Source organism: Homo sapiens, chromosome 5 (genome assembly GCF_000001405.40).
Source record: "Homo sapiens chromosome 5, GRCh38.p14 Primary Assembly".
Classification (NCBI taxonomy): domain Eukaryota; kingdom Metazoa; phylum Chordata; class Mammalia; order Primates; family Hominidae; genus Homo; species Homo sapiens.
Window position 1 is genome coordinate 177498434 of NC_000005.10, and position 12852 is coordinate 177511285.

Sequence of the window (12852 nt, forward strand, 5' to 3'; positions counted from 1 at the left end):
ACCCTGTTCTGCACAAACCGCCGTGAGAGTTCTCGTCGTTAAAGACCTTCTCTTGACCCCACATCCCTCTCCAGCTACTACCCTTTAATTCTCCTCTCGAGAGTAAAATTCCTCCAGGGAGTTGTCTGTTTATCGCGTCTCCACTTGCTTTCCTTCAGTTATCTCTTGAAGCCATGCCAGGCGGGCTCTTGTCCGCACCCGTCCCCTGAGATCTCTCTTCTCAAGGTCCCCTGTGGCCTGGAGGCCATGGGGCCATGGAATCCGTGGTGGTTAAGTTTCATCCTGCCCTGCCTAGGGGCAGCACTGGTCCAGGTTGATCCTTTTCCGCGAAACACCCTTTTTCCCTGGCTTCACAGCTTCCCCCTGCCCCACTGGCCCCTCCTTCCCATCCTCCTCTGCCTCTGGCCTTGGCCATCTGATGTCGCCTCTCTTTATGCTCACCCCCTGAGACCCCGTACTGTCCTGTGGCTTTCAACACCACCTATATGCAAAGGCATCCCATGTTTCATGGCCAGCCTGACCTCTCCCCAGGAACTCTAACTCCATTATCCAAAACCCTGCCTAGATGTTTACTAGATCAGGGGTCCCCAACTCCCCGTTTGTGGCCTGTTAGGAACTGGGCTGCACAGCAGAAGGTGAGCAGCGGCAAGCCAGAGAAGCTGAGTGCAGCGGCAGCATTAGACTCCCATAGGAGCGTGAACCCTATTGTGAACTGTGCATGCGAGGGATCTAGGTTGCTCATTCCTTATGAGAATCTAATGATAAATGGGCCGGGTGCAGTGGTTCACGCCTGTAACCCCAGCACTTTGGGAGGTTGAGGCGGGGGAGGATCACTTGAGGTCAGGAGTTCGAGACCATCCTGGCCAATATGGTGAAACCCCGTCTCTACTAAAAATACAAAAATTAGCTGGGCGTGGTGGCGCATATGCCTATAATCCCAGCTACTTGAGAGGCTGAGGCAGGAGAATGACTTGAACCTGGGCAGCAGAGGTTGTAGTGAGCCAAGATGGCTCCACTGCACTCCAGTGTGGGTGACAGAGCGAGACTCTATCTCAAAAAAAAAAAAAAAAAAAGAGTCTAATGATAAATGTACTGCACTCGAACCACCCTGAAACCATCCCCACCCCACCCCCAGTCTGTGGAAAAATTGTCTTCCATGAAAGCGGTCCCTTCTGCCAAAAAGGTTGGGGAACCACTGTACTAGGTATCTCAGACCATCATGGCCCAATTCAAACTTGTGCCTTTCCCACCTTCCTAACTCCTTCCTCACTTCAAGAAGTGCCACCAACATTTATCCAACTGGTTCAGCAGAAACGATGAAGTTATCCTTTCTCTTCTGTCCTCCCCCAGATTCTGCAAATTCCACCTTCAACATGTTCACATCTAACCGCTGCTGCCACCATTGTCCCAGCCACTGCCATTTTGTGCCTGCGCCCCTGTAACGGTCTCCTAACGGGCATCCCTGCTTTCACCCTTGCCCCTTCCAGAGTCTTCACGAAGCAGCCAAAGTGATATTTTTAAAGCCAGAATCACAGCACCATGTCACTCTCAGCTTTTAGCATTCCAGTGGGCTCATATTGCACTCAAAATAAAACTGAAGTCCTTAAGACCTACAGAATATGAATAAACTGGGTCTGACTCCTACCACTCGCTCCCTCCACTCCAGCCACCCTGACCTCCTCACTCACATTTCCTCCAGCAGGCCAAGCATATTTCTGCCTCAGGGCCTCTCCACTTGCCAGTTCCCCTGCTTGAAACACTTTTCTTTTTTTTTCTTTTTTCTTTTCTTTTTTTTTTTTGAGACGGAGTCTCGCTCTGTCATCCAGGCTGGAGTGCAGTGGTGTGATCTCGGCTTGCTGCAACCTCTGCCTCCCACGTTCAAGTGATTCTCCTGCCTCAACCTCCCGAGTAGCTGGGACTACAGGCATGAACCACCATGCCCGGATAATTTTTATATGTTTAGTAGAGATGGGGTTTCTCCATGTTGGTCAGGCTGCTCTCAAACTCCTGACCTCCAGCGATCCACCTGCCTTGGCCTCCCAAAGTGCTGGGATTACAGGCGTGAGCCACCATGCCCGGTGCCCGGCCCTTGAAACACTTCTCCAGATATCTCAGCAACAGGTTTCCAACTTTATTTAGGTCTCTGCTCAGATGTGGCCTCCTCCCAGGGCCTTTCCTGATCACAGCTGAAACAGCAATCCCTGGATGCCTCACCCGCATCACACACTAGGCCCTCCCTCTGCTTTATTTTTCCCCATAGCATCTCCATCATCTCACATTCTGTATGAAATGTTTGTTTATTTAAGAATCCCACAGCACCAGAGACATCTGGATGTGGAAAAGGCATCTCCAGATTCCATGTGTGGAGGGAGATGGGGGAATGGGGACTCTCTGCGGTGCTCTTTCCAGGGTGTGTTCTTTGTTAGGACAATGAAGACACACAGCTAATGTGTCTTATCTAACATTTCCCCAGGGCCAGCACACAGTGGATGTGAATGAACACACGAAGAAAGGAAGGATTGACAAAGTGAAACAGCAAATGAGCAAAGGAAGAGGCGGCAGCCTGGGGGTCCTGGCAGTCCTCCAGCAGAGAGGACCCCAGGCTCCCATTCCTTGGGCTGGTGCAAGGCTCTGGTCTGTGTCCCCTGGGGAGCCTCCCAGCACAGGCAGCCCCTGCGTAGCAACTGGACCTGGACAAGGACCCAGCGCCCTCTGGTGGCCGAGACTCCTGAGGCTCCAGGCCAGGCCTCTAGCGTCCTGGTGGTTTCCAAGGACTTTCTTTCCCACAGTCCCCTTGGAATATCACAGAAATCCCTAGGAAACAAAGCAGCTCAGATTTGTAATGAAGGAAAGGATGCCATGCTGGGTCCCCAGAGTCCTGGGTTCTGGTTCTAGCCATGCCCCTGACTCTCTGGGTGACCTTCAGCGTGTCCTGGGATTTGAGCTGCCAAGGGCTGGGCTTGGGCTTGCCACTGTAGGGAGTGGGGGTGCCTGCAGCAGCACCTCGACTGCCCGCCTCTTGGCCTCAGCTTGCTCTAAGACCTTACCCATCAGGAAGTGCTTGCATGAATAAGTGAGCCAAAATCTTCCTCCCTATGGCTCTAGCATCCCTCCAGGCTTTGCATTCTGTGTCCACACACATCCTGGAAGAACACCAGAGTCTCCATTCCCCCAACCCCCTTTCACCCATGGGATCTGGAGATGTCTTTTCCACATCCAGATGTCTCGTGTGCAGTGGGATTCCTAAATCTGGAGCTCAGGGGGAGGTGTGCACTGAAGACAGACCTTCGGGGTCATTAGCACCTAGAGGGTCTGTGACACCTGGAGAATGACTGGCTTGCTGAGGCCAGTGGTTCCCAGCCTAGGCTGCATACTACAATCATCCGGAAATCCAGTGAGCGTGGATGCCCAGAACCCACCTACCAGACTGATGAAATCAGAGCCCCTGCGTGTGGGCCCAGGCATGGGCATTTGATTTTTAAAATTTTTTATTTTCTTGGTAGATCACTCACAGAACATGCATGGACATTTTTACAGGCTTTCAGGAGATTCTTTGTGTAGCAGGGTTGAGCTACACTACATCTGAGCCTAGGACCCTGGGAAGAACTCAGAGAAGGCAGCAGTAGAGGCTGGGAAGGAGATTGTTATGAGGTAGGAGGAATAGCAAGTAACGGGGGTGTTTCAAGAACCAGAGCCGAGTGCTGCTGAGAAGTCAAAGTCCTTGTTGCTTTTGTTTTGGAGAATAAGGTTGGTGACTCTAATAAAAGCCACATAATGGCATCATGGGGATGAAGGAGAGTTAATTGAGGGGAGAATGGGGGTGAGAAAGTGGAAATGAAAGTAATCAACAACTCTTTTGAACAGTTTTTGCTGTGAAGAGGAACAGAGAAACAGAGGTGGCCGAAGAGGAATGTGAGGTCAAGGGAAGGTTTAAAATGTGAAATTACAGAGCATGTTTGCGTGTGGCTGGAAAAGCTGCTGGTAGGATGAATGGGCGCAGGAGAGAGTGGGGACAGCTCAATTTTCCAAGCTCTGAGGTGAAAGGAGCCGGGATCAGAGCACAGCTGGGGACAGACACTGTTTCTACTGTAGGGGTAGGAAGAAGACAGATGGATGCCAGTACACTTGCAGATACGGTGGGAGAGCCCGACCTGTTTCCCCAATATGCCTGTGAGGAGACATTGGGTGGGGATAGACAGGAGGTTCTGGGGAGGAGAAAAGCTGCCCTACTAGGGAACAGGGTCTCTTGTGGCAGGGAGTGCCTGCCTTGCACTGTTAAGAAGGATGCAGGCAGTCTGCTTAAATGGATTTCTCTGGCTGTGGGCAGCTGTGTGCAGGCACTGAGGAGGTCTGGGCTCGCCCAAGGCCGGGGACTTTGCCAGACCAGTAAGATGAAACGAGAGAGAACAGGGGGAAGGGACTATGGAGAACAAAGAGGGGATGGTGGGCAGAGGCCTCGAAGAGCCAGAAAAGGGTCCCTGCAGGTCGACATGCCTAGGCAGGGGCGGTACTGGCCGCACTAAAGGAAGTGAGCTGGAAGGAGGTGGCGGCCAGAGGATGAGGCTTGGACAGGAGAGAGCAAAAATTGTGTGTCCGTCATGAAAATGAGGTTCAGGATGTGCCAAGGGTGTGTGCAGCTGAGGTGGAGTTGCGGTGAGGGGCTGGGCAGTCAGAGCCCTGGAGGCATGACGCTTGCGTGCGTGGCTGGCTCCTAGGATGGCGCCAGGAGCAGGAGCAGAGGAGGGAACGCAGCATGGAAGTCTTCAGGAAACTTCTCTCCCCCTGGAATGTCGGCTCCCGGAGAACAGGACCAAGGCTGTCCTGAACACGGCTGTGTCCCCCAGCGCCTGGCACTGAGTAGGCACGCAGCAAACTCTCATCAAGGATTATGCCTGATACGTCATCGGTTCTCTCTCCTTTACAGATGAGGAGACTGACGCCTGGGGTTCCCAGAAGTATCTGCAAATTGTTGGAGTTTCAGCAGGGAACAAGTGTTTTGGACGAGGGTGTCTCTGAAATCCCTTCCACCTGCACCCCGCCCCCACTGCCTCCTCCCAGCTCGGGCCTCCGGGTCTCCAGTTGGGCCCTCATGTTGCTCCTTCCTGAGTCTGACAAGTAAGCCTCACAGCTCCCTCCGCCTGCCTCTTCGTGTCACTCGGCCGTGCAGAGCAACATGGAGTCCTAATGATTTCCATCCCGTCTGTCTGCTGCAGTGGGTTTGAGCCCACGGGTGGCAGGTAAGGCCCAGGTCACCTGTGCCCCTGGAACCGGCACAGGGTGCTTGTGTTGGCCGCAATGAACGTGGGCAGGGGCGTGTGCCGTGAGTGCCCCTGCCGGGAGCTGCTCTGAGCTTTATTATCTGTGAGTCTGCACACTATTCATGAGGAGGGCAGGGCAGGGCTGAGGTCCTCCACAGGCGGCCTGCCTTGTTCCTGCAGGCCAGGGTGGACACAGGCGTGTGTCTGCATGGGCCCAATGTTTGCCCACCAGCCCACCCTCCTGTCCCAGGGGGAGCACCTCTCCCCTCTGGCCACCACTCTGCTGGGCGTTCAGGGCCGGTCACAAGGGGCTGGGCCCTTCCTCCGCTCACGACTCAGCAGGGTCACCAGCTTGGCCTTGAAACCTGCCTGAGGGTCAGGGCGGCCTGTGCCCTCCACCTGATCCAGCTCCAGCAGCCGCCGGTACTGGGCCTCCAGGGTACTGTCGTTGGCCGGGCCGGGCCAGCTCAAGTCCTGGCCGTTGTGGTAGATGGGACTGGTTGTGGGGCTGCGGCTGCCGGGGCCCTCGTGCGGCTCAGGTTCCCCACCGTGCAGCGTGGGGCTGGCCTCCAGCACACACAGGTTCTCATAGAGGTGCTCATTGCCTGGGGGCCCACTGGCACGCTTGCACACTGAAGCGTAGAGCCCGGACGCCAGATCGTTGGGCTCCGGGCCTAGCAGTAGCGGCAGGCTCTGGGGTCCGGGCTCGGCCAGGTGCATTTTCCTGGACGTGGGTGGCTCAGGTCCTGGTGGCATCTCCCGAAGCTCTCCGGGGGTGTCCAGGGAGGGCAGAGAGGTGGCCCGTGGCAGGGGGCAGGGCTGGGGCCTGGTCAGCTCTGGCAGCCGCTCCCGCTGGCGGGCGATGGCCCCGGCCACAGCCCTGCACAGGTCAGGGGCACAGGGGGTGCTGAAGGCAAAGAGGCCCTCACCCGAGTGGCAGCGACGGCCGGCCTCAAAGGAGAACACGCCCTGGGCACAGGGCACACGGGTGGGGATTAGCAGGAGGGTCCAGGGTGTCAGCCCCTCACCCTTTCCCACCCCTGCACCTCACCTTGTCGGAGCCGAACTTGCGCAGGAAGTGGTAGGGCCAGCTGTAGAGGGCCTGGGTGCCCTTGGCCTCCCTCAGCTGGATGGCGTCTGGGCCCAGCACCAGCAGGGCCGGCCCCTTCAGCTGGCAGCGGGTGGCGGCCTCAGTCCTCTGCACCACCACGGGAAACTCGCCCACTGTGGCAGGTGGCCAGGACAGCTCCGTCAGTCCCAAAAAGACCCAGCCCTGGGTGTGGGGGGCTGAGGCTGCCCTTGCACGTCCTCCAACTTACCTTCCTGCCAGGAGGAGTAGATGGAGTTTTCCTCCATGGGGACCAGGCCCCTCTTGGGAGACTGGGCATCTGTGGATCCTGAGGAGGCCTCCCCTGTCCCCTGGGGAATGAGTTCAAGTCAAAGGTGAGAGCACCGCACTCCCATGCCCTGTCCCCTCCCCTCAGTATCCCAGAACTCCACAAGCCAGGGGGCATCCAGGGGCCTGGGCTCCAGTTCCAGCTTTGCCCGGCTCGCTGCATAAGCCTAGGTCCCCTTCCGAGCCTGTTCTCCCACCTGGCTCCCCACTGAGAGTGCTGGGCTGGGCAAGAGGCACTGTGCTTGAGGGTGTCTGAGAGCTGCAGATCACTGGGGACACAAAAGGATGTCCCTTGCAGCCCCTGGGCTTGGCTGGGCCAGCTTCTGTATGTCTGACAGCCTAGAGCAGTACCCCAGGTGTCTTCCTCCATCTCACCACAGCCACCTGCTATGACCCTGCAAGGTGCCCCCAATCTCTGCCTCATCCCCACACCCAGGCCTTCAGCATGTCCCCTGTGCTCTTTCCCACTCAGCTCCTCTACTAGCACCACCCTGGCCCATAGCAACACAGCCGGGTCAAATGCCACAGCTTCCTCACCAGGCTCCTTGCTCCTGTCAACTGCCTTTTTTTTTGACATGGAGTCTTGCTCTGTCACCCATACTTGAGTGCAATGGCGAGATCTCGGCTGACTGCAATTTCCGCCTCCCGGGTTTGTTTTTTTTCTTTAAGATGGAGTCTCACTCTTGTCGCCCAGGCTGGAGTGCAGTGGCGCGATCTTGGCTCACTGCAAGCTCCGCCTCCCAGGTTCACGCCATTCTCCTGCCTCAGCCTCCCAAGTAGCTGGGACTACAGGTGCCCGCCACCAGGCCTGGCTAATTTTTTTTGTATTTTTAGTAGAGATGGGGTTTCACCATGTTAGCCAGGATGATCTCGATCTCCTGACCTCATGATCCGCCTGTCTCGGCCTCCCAAAGTGCTGGGATTACAGGCATGAGCCACCGCGCCCAGCCCGCCTCCCGGGTTTAAGTGATTCTCCTGCCTCAGTCTCCCAAGTAGCTGGGATTACAGGTGCCCACCACCATGCCTGGCTAATTTTTTGTATTTTTAGTAGAGACAGGGTTTTACCATATTGGGCAGGCTGGTCTCGAACTCCTGACCTCAGGTGATCCACGTGCTTCGGCTTCCCAAAGTGCTGGGATTACAGGCACGAACCTCCATGCCTAACCTCAACTGCCTTTTGTTTTTTGATTTTTAAAATATGATAAAATACAGAGAACATAAAATTTACTGTTTTAACCATCTTACTTTTTTTTTTTTTTTTGAGACAAAGTCTTGCTCTGTCGGCCAGGCTGGAATGCAGTGGTGCGATCTAAGCTCACTGCAACCTCTGCCTCCCAGACTCAAGCAATTCTGCTGCCTCAGCCTCTCAAGTAGTAGCTGGGATTACAGGCGTGTGCCACCACACCCAGCTAATTTTTGTAATTTTTTTTTAGTAGAGATAGGGTTTCACCATGTTGGCCAGGCTGGTCTCGAACTCCTGACCTCAGGTAATCCGCCTGCCTCGGCCTCCCAAAGTGCTGGGATTACAGGTGTGAACCACTACGCCCGGCCCATTTTACATCTTAAAGTGTATCATCAGTGCTCTTTTTTTTCTTTTCTTTTTTTTTTTTTTTTTTTTGAGACGGAGTTTTGCTCTCGTTGCCCAGGCTGGAGTGCAATGGCATGATCTCGGCTCACCGCAACCTCTGCCTCCCAGGTTCAAGCAATTCTGCCTGCCTCAGCCTCCCGAGTAGCTGGCATTACAGGCATGCACCACCATGCCCAGCTACTTCTGTATTTTTAGTAGAGACGGGGTTTCTCCATGTTGAGGCTGGTCTCGAACTTCTGACCTCAGGTGATCCGCCCGCCTCGGCCTCCCAAAGTGCTGGGATTATAGGCCTGAGCCACCGCACCCGGCCACCAGTGCTTTTTAGTATACTCACAAGGCTGTGCACTGTTGCCACTGTCTAGTTCCAGAACTTTTCCATCATCCCACATGGAAGCCCTGTACCCATGAGCAGCCACTCCCCACTTCTCCCTTCCTCCAGCTCCTGCCAACACTCATCTGATTTCTATCCCAATGGAGTTACCTTGTCTGTACATTTCTTTCTTTCTTCTTTTCTTTTTTTTTTTTGAGACAGGGTCTCACTATGTTGCCCAGGCTGATCTTGAATTCCTAGGCTCAAGCAATCCTCCTACCTCAGCCTCCCAAAGTGCTAAGATTACAGGCAAGAGCTACTGTGCCAGGCGTTTGTTTGTTTTTATGGCTGAGTAGTATTCCATCTTGCGGACGGACCACGTTTTGCTTATCCATTTGTCAGCTGATGGCCATGTAGGCTGTTTCCACCTTCTGGTGGCTGTGAGTAGTGCTGCTATGGACGTTCATGTCCATGTGGGTTTTTTTTTAAGATAGGGTCTTGCTCTGTCTCCCGGGCTGGAGTGAAGTGGCACGATTACAGCTCACTGCAGCCTCGACCTCTGGGGCTCATGCGATCCTCCTGCCTCACATGTACATGTTTTGTTTGAACACCTGTTCAAGTTCTCTTGGGCACACACCTAGGAGTGGACCTGTGGGCCACATGGTAACTCTGTTTACCTCTTTGAAGAACCCCCAGGCTCACTTCCTTTTGACCCATCACAGACCTTTTGGGGCTTTACAAACATGTCCGGCTTAAACCCTCCAAAGCCTTCGCCTCTCACTCAGAACAAAACCACACACATGGCCTAGGGCATTTCAGCCGCTCTCCTAAGCTCTGTGAGTTGGCTTCCTCCTGCACTCCTTTCCTTCCAGCCACGTCGCCTTCTTTCTGCCCTTAAACACCCCACACTGTCCGGCCTCGGGGCCTCTGCCCACGGGACTCCCTCTGTTCACAACTCCCCAGGCTGCCCCTGTCCTCAGACCTTTGCCCAGTGGGTTCCTGTCATTCAGGGCCCTCCTCTGAGAGGCCTTCCCTGGCCACCCTGCCCGTCGCTCCCTCACTTCCTCCTGCTCCCCTGGCGGTCCATTTTCTCCATGGCACGCACGGCCCTCTGAGAGTCATTATAGATTTACTTTTCCCAGGCTTGTAGGTGCTCGGTGGAGCTTGCTGGGTGATGGGATGTGAGCGTGGAGGTGGACAAGTCGGGGGCAGGTGCCCCAGCCCAATCGCCCCCCTGCTCGCCGCACTCACCGGGAAGGCCAGCTGGCAGATGGGGCCCATCCAGGCCTGGCGGTGCTGAGCAGCCAGTAGATGGCTTCGCTCGGTGGTGGTGAGCAGGAAGGCACCGGTGTCCCGGGGGCAGCTCTCGCCGTCAGCCGGCAGCACGGACACACAGTCAGCCAGGCGGATGACCCGTCGCTCCCCTCGCCGGCCAGGCCCTGCCGACCTGTCACCCGCTGCTCCCAGGCCACCATCCCGGACCTCCCAGCTCTCCAGCCGTGCCACGCCTGATGGGCCTCCTGCATACAGCAGAGCCCACACCTTCCGCCAGCACTTCTGCGGGAGGGGAGCGGGAGGGTGAAGACCCTTGGGTGGCAGATTGTCCGTGCCACTTGGCTCAGCACAAGCTGCTCGGCAAACGCTCCCAGCCAGGAGCGGGCCTCTGCTCCCCAGTTTCTCAGGGAGCCAGGTAAGGAGGCCTTGGCTATGCTTGGGATTGGTCAGCCCTGGGTTCAAATCCCAGCCCGCTCTTTCCTAACTGTGACCTCCACAAGCATCAATGTCGTCTCTCAAAAGGCCATGAGAACTCGAGCTGGGACTGCTACTGGGTCATGTTTGTAAAGCATCCAGTGGCCGGGCAGACCACCAGACACTGCCATTATATTGGTTCCCTCTCACCCCCAAAAAGGGGCACTTGGGCCACAGGCCAAGAGCTGGGGTGGGAGGGAGGCCTCTGCCTCAAGCTGTTAAGGAAGGAAACATGCAAATAGCTTCGAGCAAAGGAAACTGACGGTTTATCTGCCTGGGCAGCAGCTGCAGCTGAGCTGCGGGGGTGTGGGGCTGCTGCCGAGGAGAGGTGACCCCCTGCCTCCTTGCTCCCAGGACAGTGCCGCTGCAGGGAGGGGCTCCACCCTTGAGGCCTCCTCCAGCTCAGCCCCTCACCCTATTTAGGGCCCTCGGTGGCACTATTTCATGGGTCAGAGGCTGTGAAGCTCTTCCCTGCTGGGAGGTTTGAGCCTTCGACCCTCTCCCACTCCTGTATTTCCCATCTCTCCCGGAGGCAGGGTCTGGCAGAGCCTGCTCAGCCCCTGCCGTCTCAGGCTGACACCCGCACTCCATTCCACTCCCCATACCTGGGTGGGATCCTCCACCCTGACTCCCTTCCCAAGTCTCCCAGGTCTGCCTGGGCTGTCCGAGGCAGGGGCAGAGGCTGCATTCTCCACCCACTGTTGGTCCTTGGCAGCTGCCTGGCAGCCAGGGGTCCCCACCTTGCCAAACTTGACATGCTGCTGGTAGAGGATGCCATCCTTGATAGGGGTCTCCAGAGGGTCCATGGTCACGGCCAGGAGCAGGGCCGCCGCTTCAAGACCTGGGGAGACTGATGACAGGCTGGACGGGAACTCCTCACACTTCCCCTTCTGGCCACTTCCCGTCCCTCCGTCTAGAGACAGCTGCAGGCCGGGGGGAGGGGAGCCTGTCTTCAGCTCAGGGGCTGGGGGCAGCATGTATTTCCTCCCTGGGGTTCTGGCTGCCCAAGGTGCCCACACCTACCTGGAGGGAGCCCCCGGCCACCTGAAGGCAGCCTTCTCACGCACCTGGTTCAGCTGGGCACGCGCGTCTGATCGCAGTCTGGCTCCCCGAGTCATGAGTTCCCGCCCCTCCCCCGTCCCGCCCCGGGCAGCTGCGCACCCTGGGCCTGACACTCCCTGGCCCTGCCTCCACCCAGGACCCTTCTCTAGCCAACTCCTGGCTTTCCCACTCGGCGTCCTGGTTTGAGCGCCTCACCCCATCTTGCTGCTTTTCTTTCTCCCTGAAATCTCTCTCGTGTTCACCTGCTCCTCTCCACCTCACGAGCCACTGAACATCACCAGCCTTTGGCATCCCCCCAGGGGCCACTGCCCCACTGGGCCTCCATGCAGCACTCTCCACAACCCAAGACCAACCTGTCTCTCCCCTTCCTGGGGTGCAGCCCAGGCTCCTCAGCCCAACACTCAGGGACCTGTGTGTTCTGGCCTGCATCTCCCCCAGGCCAGCCCCTCCAGGGCCCCCTCACCACTGTGCTGCCTGGGGCGGTTGGCCACCTCTTCCTCCTGGAGGCCTCCCTTGACCACTCCACGCTGTCCGAGAGCTCAAAGGCCCTCACGGTATACACTCACGCTGGGCATCCAGTCCACATGGGACCCACAGCCCTGAATGGCCCCAACCACGTGAGTGTGGGTGGCAGGTCCCAGGGGGCCCCGGAGAGGTCACATGTTCATTTAAAGCTTTGCTTCCTGCTGGGGGCGCCTTTTGTTGGCTTGCCTAGCAAGATGCCAATAGCGGGGCTGTGTGTATACCTTTATTCTGGAACAGCCTCAGGTCATTCAGCACCACCTCTGGGAGAGAACATGGAAGAGGATAAGGAATGCCATTTGGGAATGCACTTGGCCAGGAAATATGTCCTGAAGGCCTCCTGGCACCCAGCTCTGTGCCCACTGTGGCCCAAGCAGCCCTAAGCTCCGTCCACCTCAGACGCCACATCCTTTGCGTTCTCATCGCCATTTCAACAGTGAGGAAATCGGTGCTCAGAAAAATTAAGTAACTTGCCCAATGCCACATATCAAGTGACAAATATGGCTTGAGCAACCGCTGTCTCACTGGAATGAGCATGTGGCCATACATGCAAAGTGCCTGGCTCAGAGGAAGTGTGGCCGCCTGTGCCGTCCCTGCCTACCTCTCACCAGATGCTGAGATCCTGCCTCATCTGCTAGCGGTCTTGTGACTGCCGTCCACGTTTCTGCGTGTGCGTCTTTCTCTCCCCTCGCCTGACGGCTTCCCAGGCAGCCATCTCCCTGGCCCATCTAGGTCCTCACAGCTCAGCAGAGCTGGGCACAGAGCAGGCTTAGGGAGAGCTTGTGGCCTAAATGGCAGTTCTATGACATCTGCTGCCTCCTCAGTCAACGGAATGGAGGGCTCCCTCCAGGTGGCTGGCACAGGCAGGCAGTGGGTGGGGGTCCTGAGGCAAGAAGCAGCCTCCCAAGGGGCTTCAGGAGAAGTCCCTGAAACATCACAGCCCTGACAGGAAGAGTGGGCCTGAGAG

At 56.7% G+C, this 12852-nt stretch overlaps 1 protein-coding gene across 19 annotated transcripts, besides 11 other annotated features; it reads right to left on the reverse strand.

Moving 5' to 3' along the window:
• Window positions 45-784: an enhancer, noted in NCBI's record as "H3K4me1 hESC enhancer chr5:176925479-176926218 (GRCh37/hg19 assembly coordinates)". NCBI's record gives its function as "activates a minimal SCP1, AML or CMV promoter by ChIP-STARR-seq in primed H9 embryonic stem cells {active_cell/tissue: H9 hESC(primed)}" and the evidence as "EXISTENCE:reporter gene assay evidence [ECO:0000049][PMID:30033119]".
• Window positions 2402-2641: an enhancer, noted in NCBI's record as "active region_23721". NCBI's record gives its function as "activates an Ori minimal core promoter by ATAC-STARR-seq in GM12878 lymphoblastoid cells {active_cell/tissue: GM12878}" and the evidence as "EXISTENCE:reporter gene assay evidence [ECO:0000049][PMID:35858748]".
• Window positions 3422-3471: an enhancer, noted in NCBI's record as "active region_23722". NCBI's record gives its function as "activates an Ori minimal core promoter by ATAC-STARR-seq in GM12878 lymphoblastoid cells {active_cell/tissue: GM12878}" and the evidence as "EXISTENCE:reporter gene assay evidence [ECO:0000049][PMID:35858748]".
• Window positions 3471-12667, reverse strand: DOK3 (docking protein 3). Of its 19 annotated transcripts, NM_001375799.2 has the most exons (7): window positions 12487-12667; window positions 12110-12148; window positions 11042-11224; window positions 9804-10109; window positions 6578-6677; window positions 6310-6482; window positions 3471-4959 (listed from the first exon to the last, which is right to left on the reverse strand). In NM_001375799.2, exons 3-7 carry the CDS (start codon window positions 11105-11107, stop codon window positions 4612-4614), a joined length of 993 nt encoding a protein of 330 aa, NP_001362728.1. In that variant the 5' UTR covers window positions 11108-11224; window positions 12110-12148; window positions 12487-12667; the 3' UTR covers window positions 3471-4611. The 19 variants fall into 19 exon arrangements, with proteins under 19 accessions (NP_001362728.1, NP_001362726.1, NP_001138347.1 ...); NM_001375797.2 differs by lacking the exons at window positions 12110-12148; window positions 12487-12667 and adding an exon at window positions 11855-11968 and having other exon boundaries at window positions 3471-6227; NM_001144875.2 differs by lacking the exons at window positions 12110-12148; window positions 12487-12667 and adding an exon at window positions 11827-11968 and having other exon boundaries at window positions 11042-11142.
• Window positions 3482-3551: an enhancer, noted in NCBI's record as "active region_23723". NCBI's record gives its function as "activates an Ori minimal core promoter by ATAC-STARR-seq in GM12878 lymphoblastoid cells {active_cell/tissue: GM12878}" and the evidence as "EXISTENCE:reporter gene assay evidence [ECO:0000049][PMID:35858748]".
• Window positions 3572-3621: an enhancer, noted in NCBI's record as "active region_23724". NCBI's record gives its function as "activates an Ori minimal core promoter by ATAC-STARR-seq in GM12878 lymphoblastoid cells {active_cell/tissue: GM12878}" and the evidence as "EXISTENCE:reporter gene assay evidence [ECO:0000049][PMID:35858748]".
• Window positions 4121-5074: an enhancer, noted in NCBI's record as "H3K4me1 hESC enhancer chr5:176929555-176930508 (GRCh37/hg19 assembly coordinates)". NCBI's record gives its function as "activates a minimal SCP1, AML or CMV promoter by ChIP-STARR-seq in primed H9 embryonic stem cells {active_cell/tissue: H9 hESC(primed)}" and the evidence as "EXISTENCE:reporter gene assay evidence [ECO:0000049][PMID:30033119]".
• Window positions 5075-6026: an enhancer, noted in NCBI's record as "H3K4me1 hESC enhancer chr5:176930509-176931460 (GRCh37/hg19 assembly coordinates)". NCBI's record gives its function as "activates a minimal SCP1, AML or CMV promoter by ChIP-STARR-seq in primed H9 embryonic stem cells {active_cell/tissue: H9 hESC(primed)}" and the evidence as "EXISTENCE:reporter gene assay evidence [ECO:0000049][PMID:30033119]".
• Window positions 9649-9758: an enhancer, noted in NCBI's record as "active region_23725". NCBI's record gives its function as "activates an Ori minimal core promoter by ATAC-STARR-seq in GM12878 lymphoblastoid cells {active_cell/tissue: GM12878}" and the evidence as "EXISTENCE:reporter gene assay evidence [ECO:0000049][PMID:35858748]".
• Window positions 9779-9828: an enhancer, noted in NCBI's record as "active region_23726". NCBI's record gives its function as "activates an Ori minimal core promoter by ATAC-STARR-seq in GM12878 lymphoblastoid cells {active_cell/tissue: GM12878}" and the evidence as "EXISTENCE:reporter gene assay evidence [ECO:0000049][PMID:35858748]".
• Window positions 11379-11518: a silencer, noted in NCBI's record as "silent region_16701". NCBI's record gives its function as "represses an Ori minimal core promoter by ATAC-STARR-seq in GM12878 lymphoblastoid cells {active_cell/tissue: GM12878}" and the evidence as "EXISTENCE:reporter gene assay evidence [ECO:0000049][PMID:35858748]".
• Window positions 11649-11798: an enhancer, noted in NCBI's record as "active region_23727". NCBI's record gives its function as "activates an Ori minimal core promoter by ATAC-STARR-seq in GM12878 lymphoblastoid cells {active_cell/tissue: GM12878}" and the evidence as "EXISTENCE:reporter gene assay evidence [ECO:0000049][PMID:35858748]".

Excerpts from the sequence above, each read along its gene's own strand:
- DOK3 (NM_001375797.2), bottom strand. The coding sequence starts at position 11,107 with ATGGACCCTCTGGAGACCCCTATCAAGGATGGCATCCTCTACCAGCAG. Across the intron at positions 6,678-9,803 it reads TCTGCCAGCTGGCCTTCCCG|GGGACAGGGGAGGCCTCCTC; the intron begins GTGAGTGCGGCG and ends CTCATTCCCCAG. Across the intron at positions 6,228-6,309 it reads GCAAGTTCGGCTCCGACAAG|GGCGTGTTCTCCTTTGAGGC; the intron begins GTGAGGTGCAGG and ends CCCTGTGCCCAG.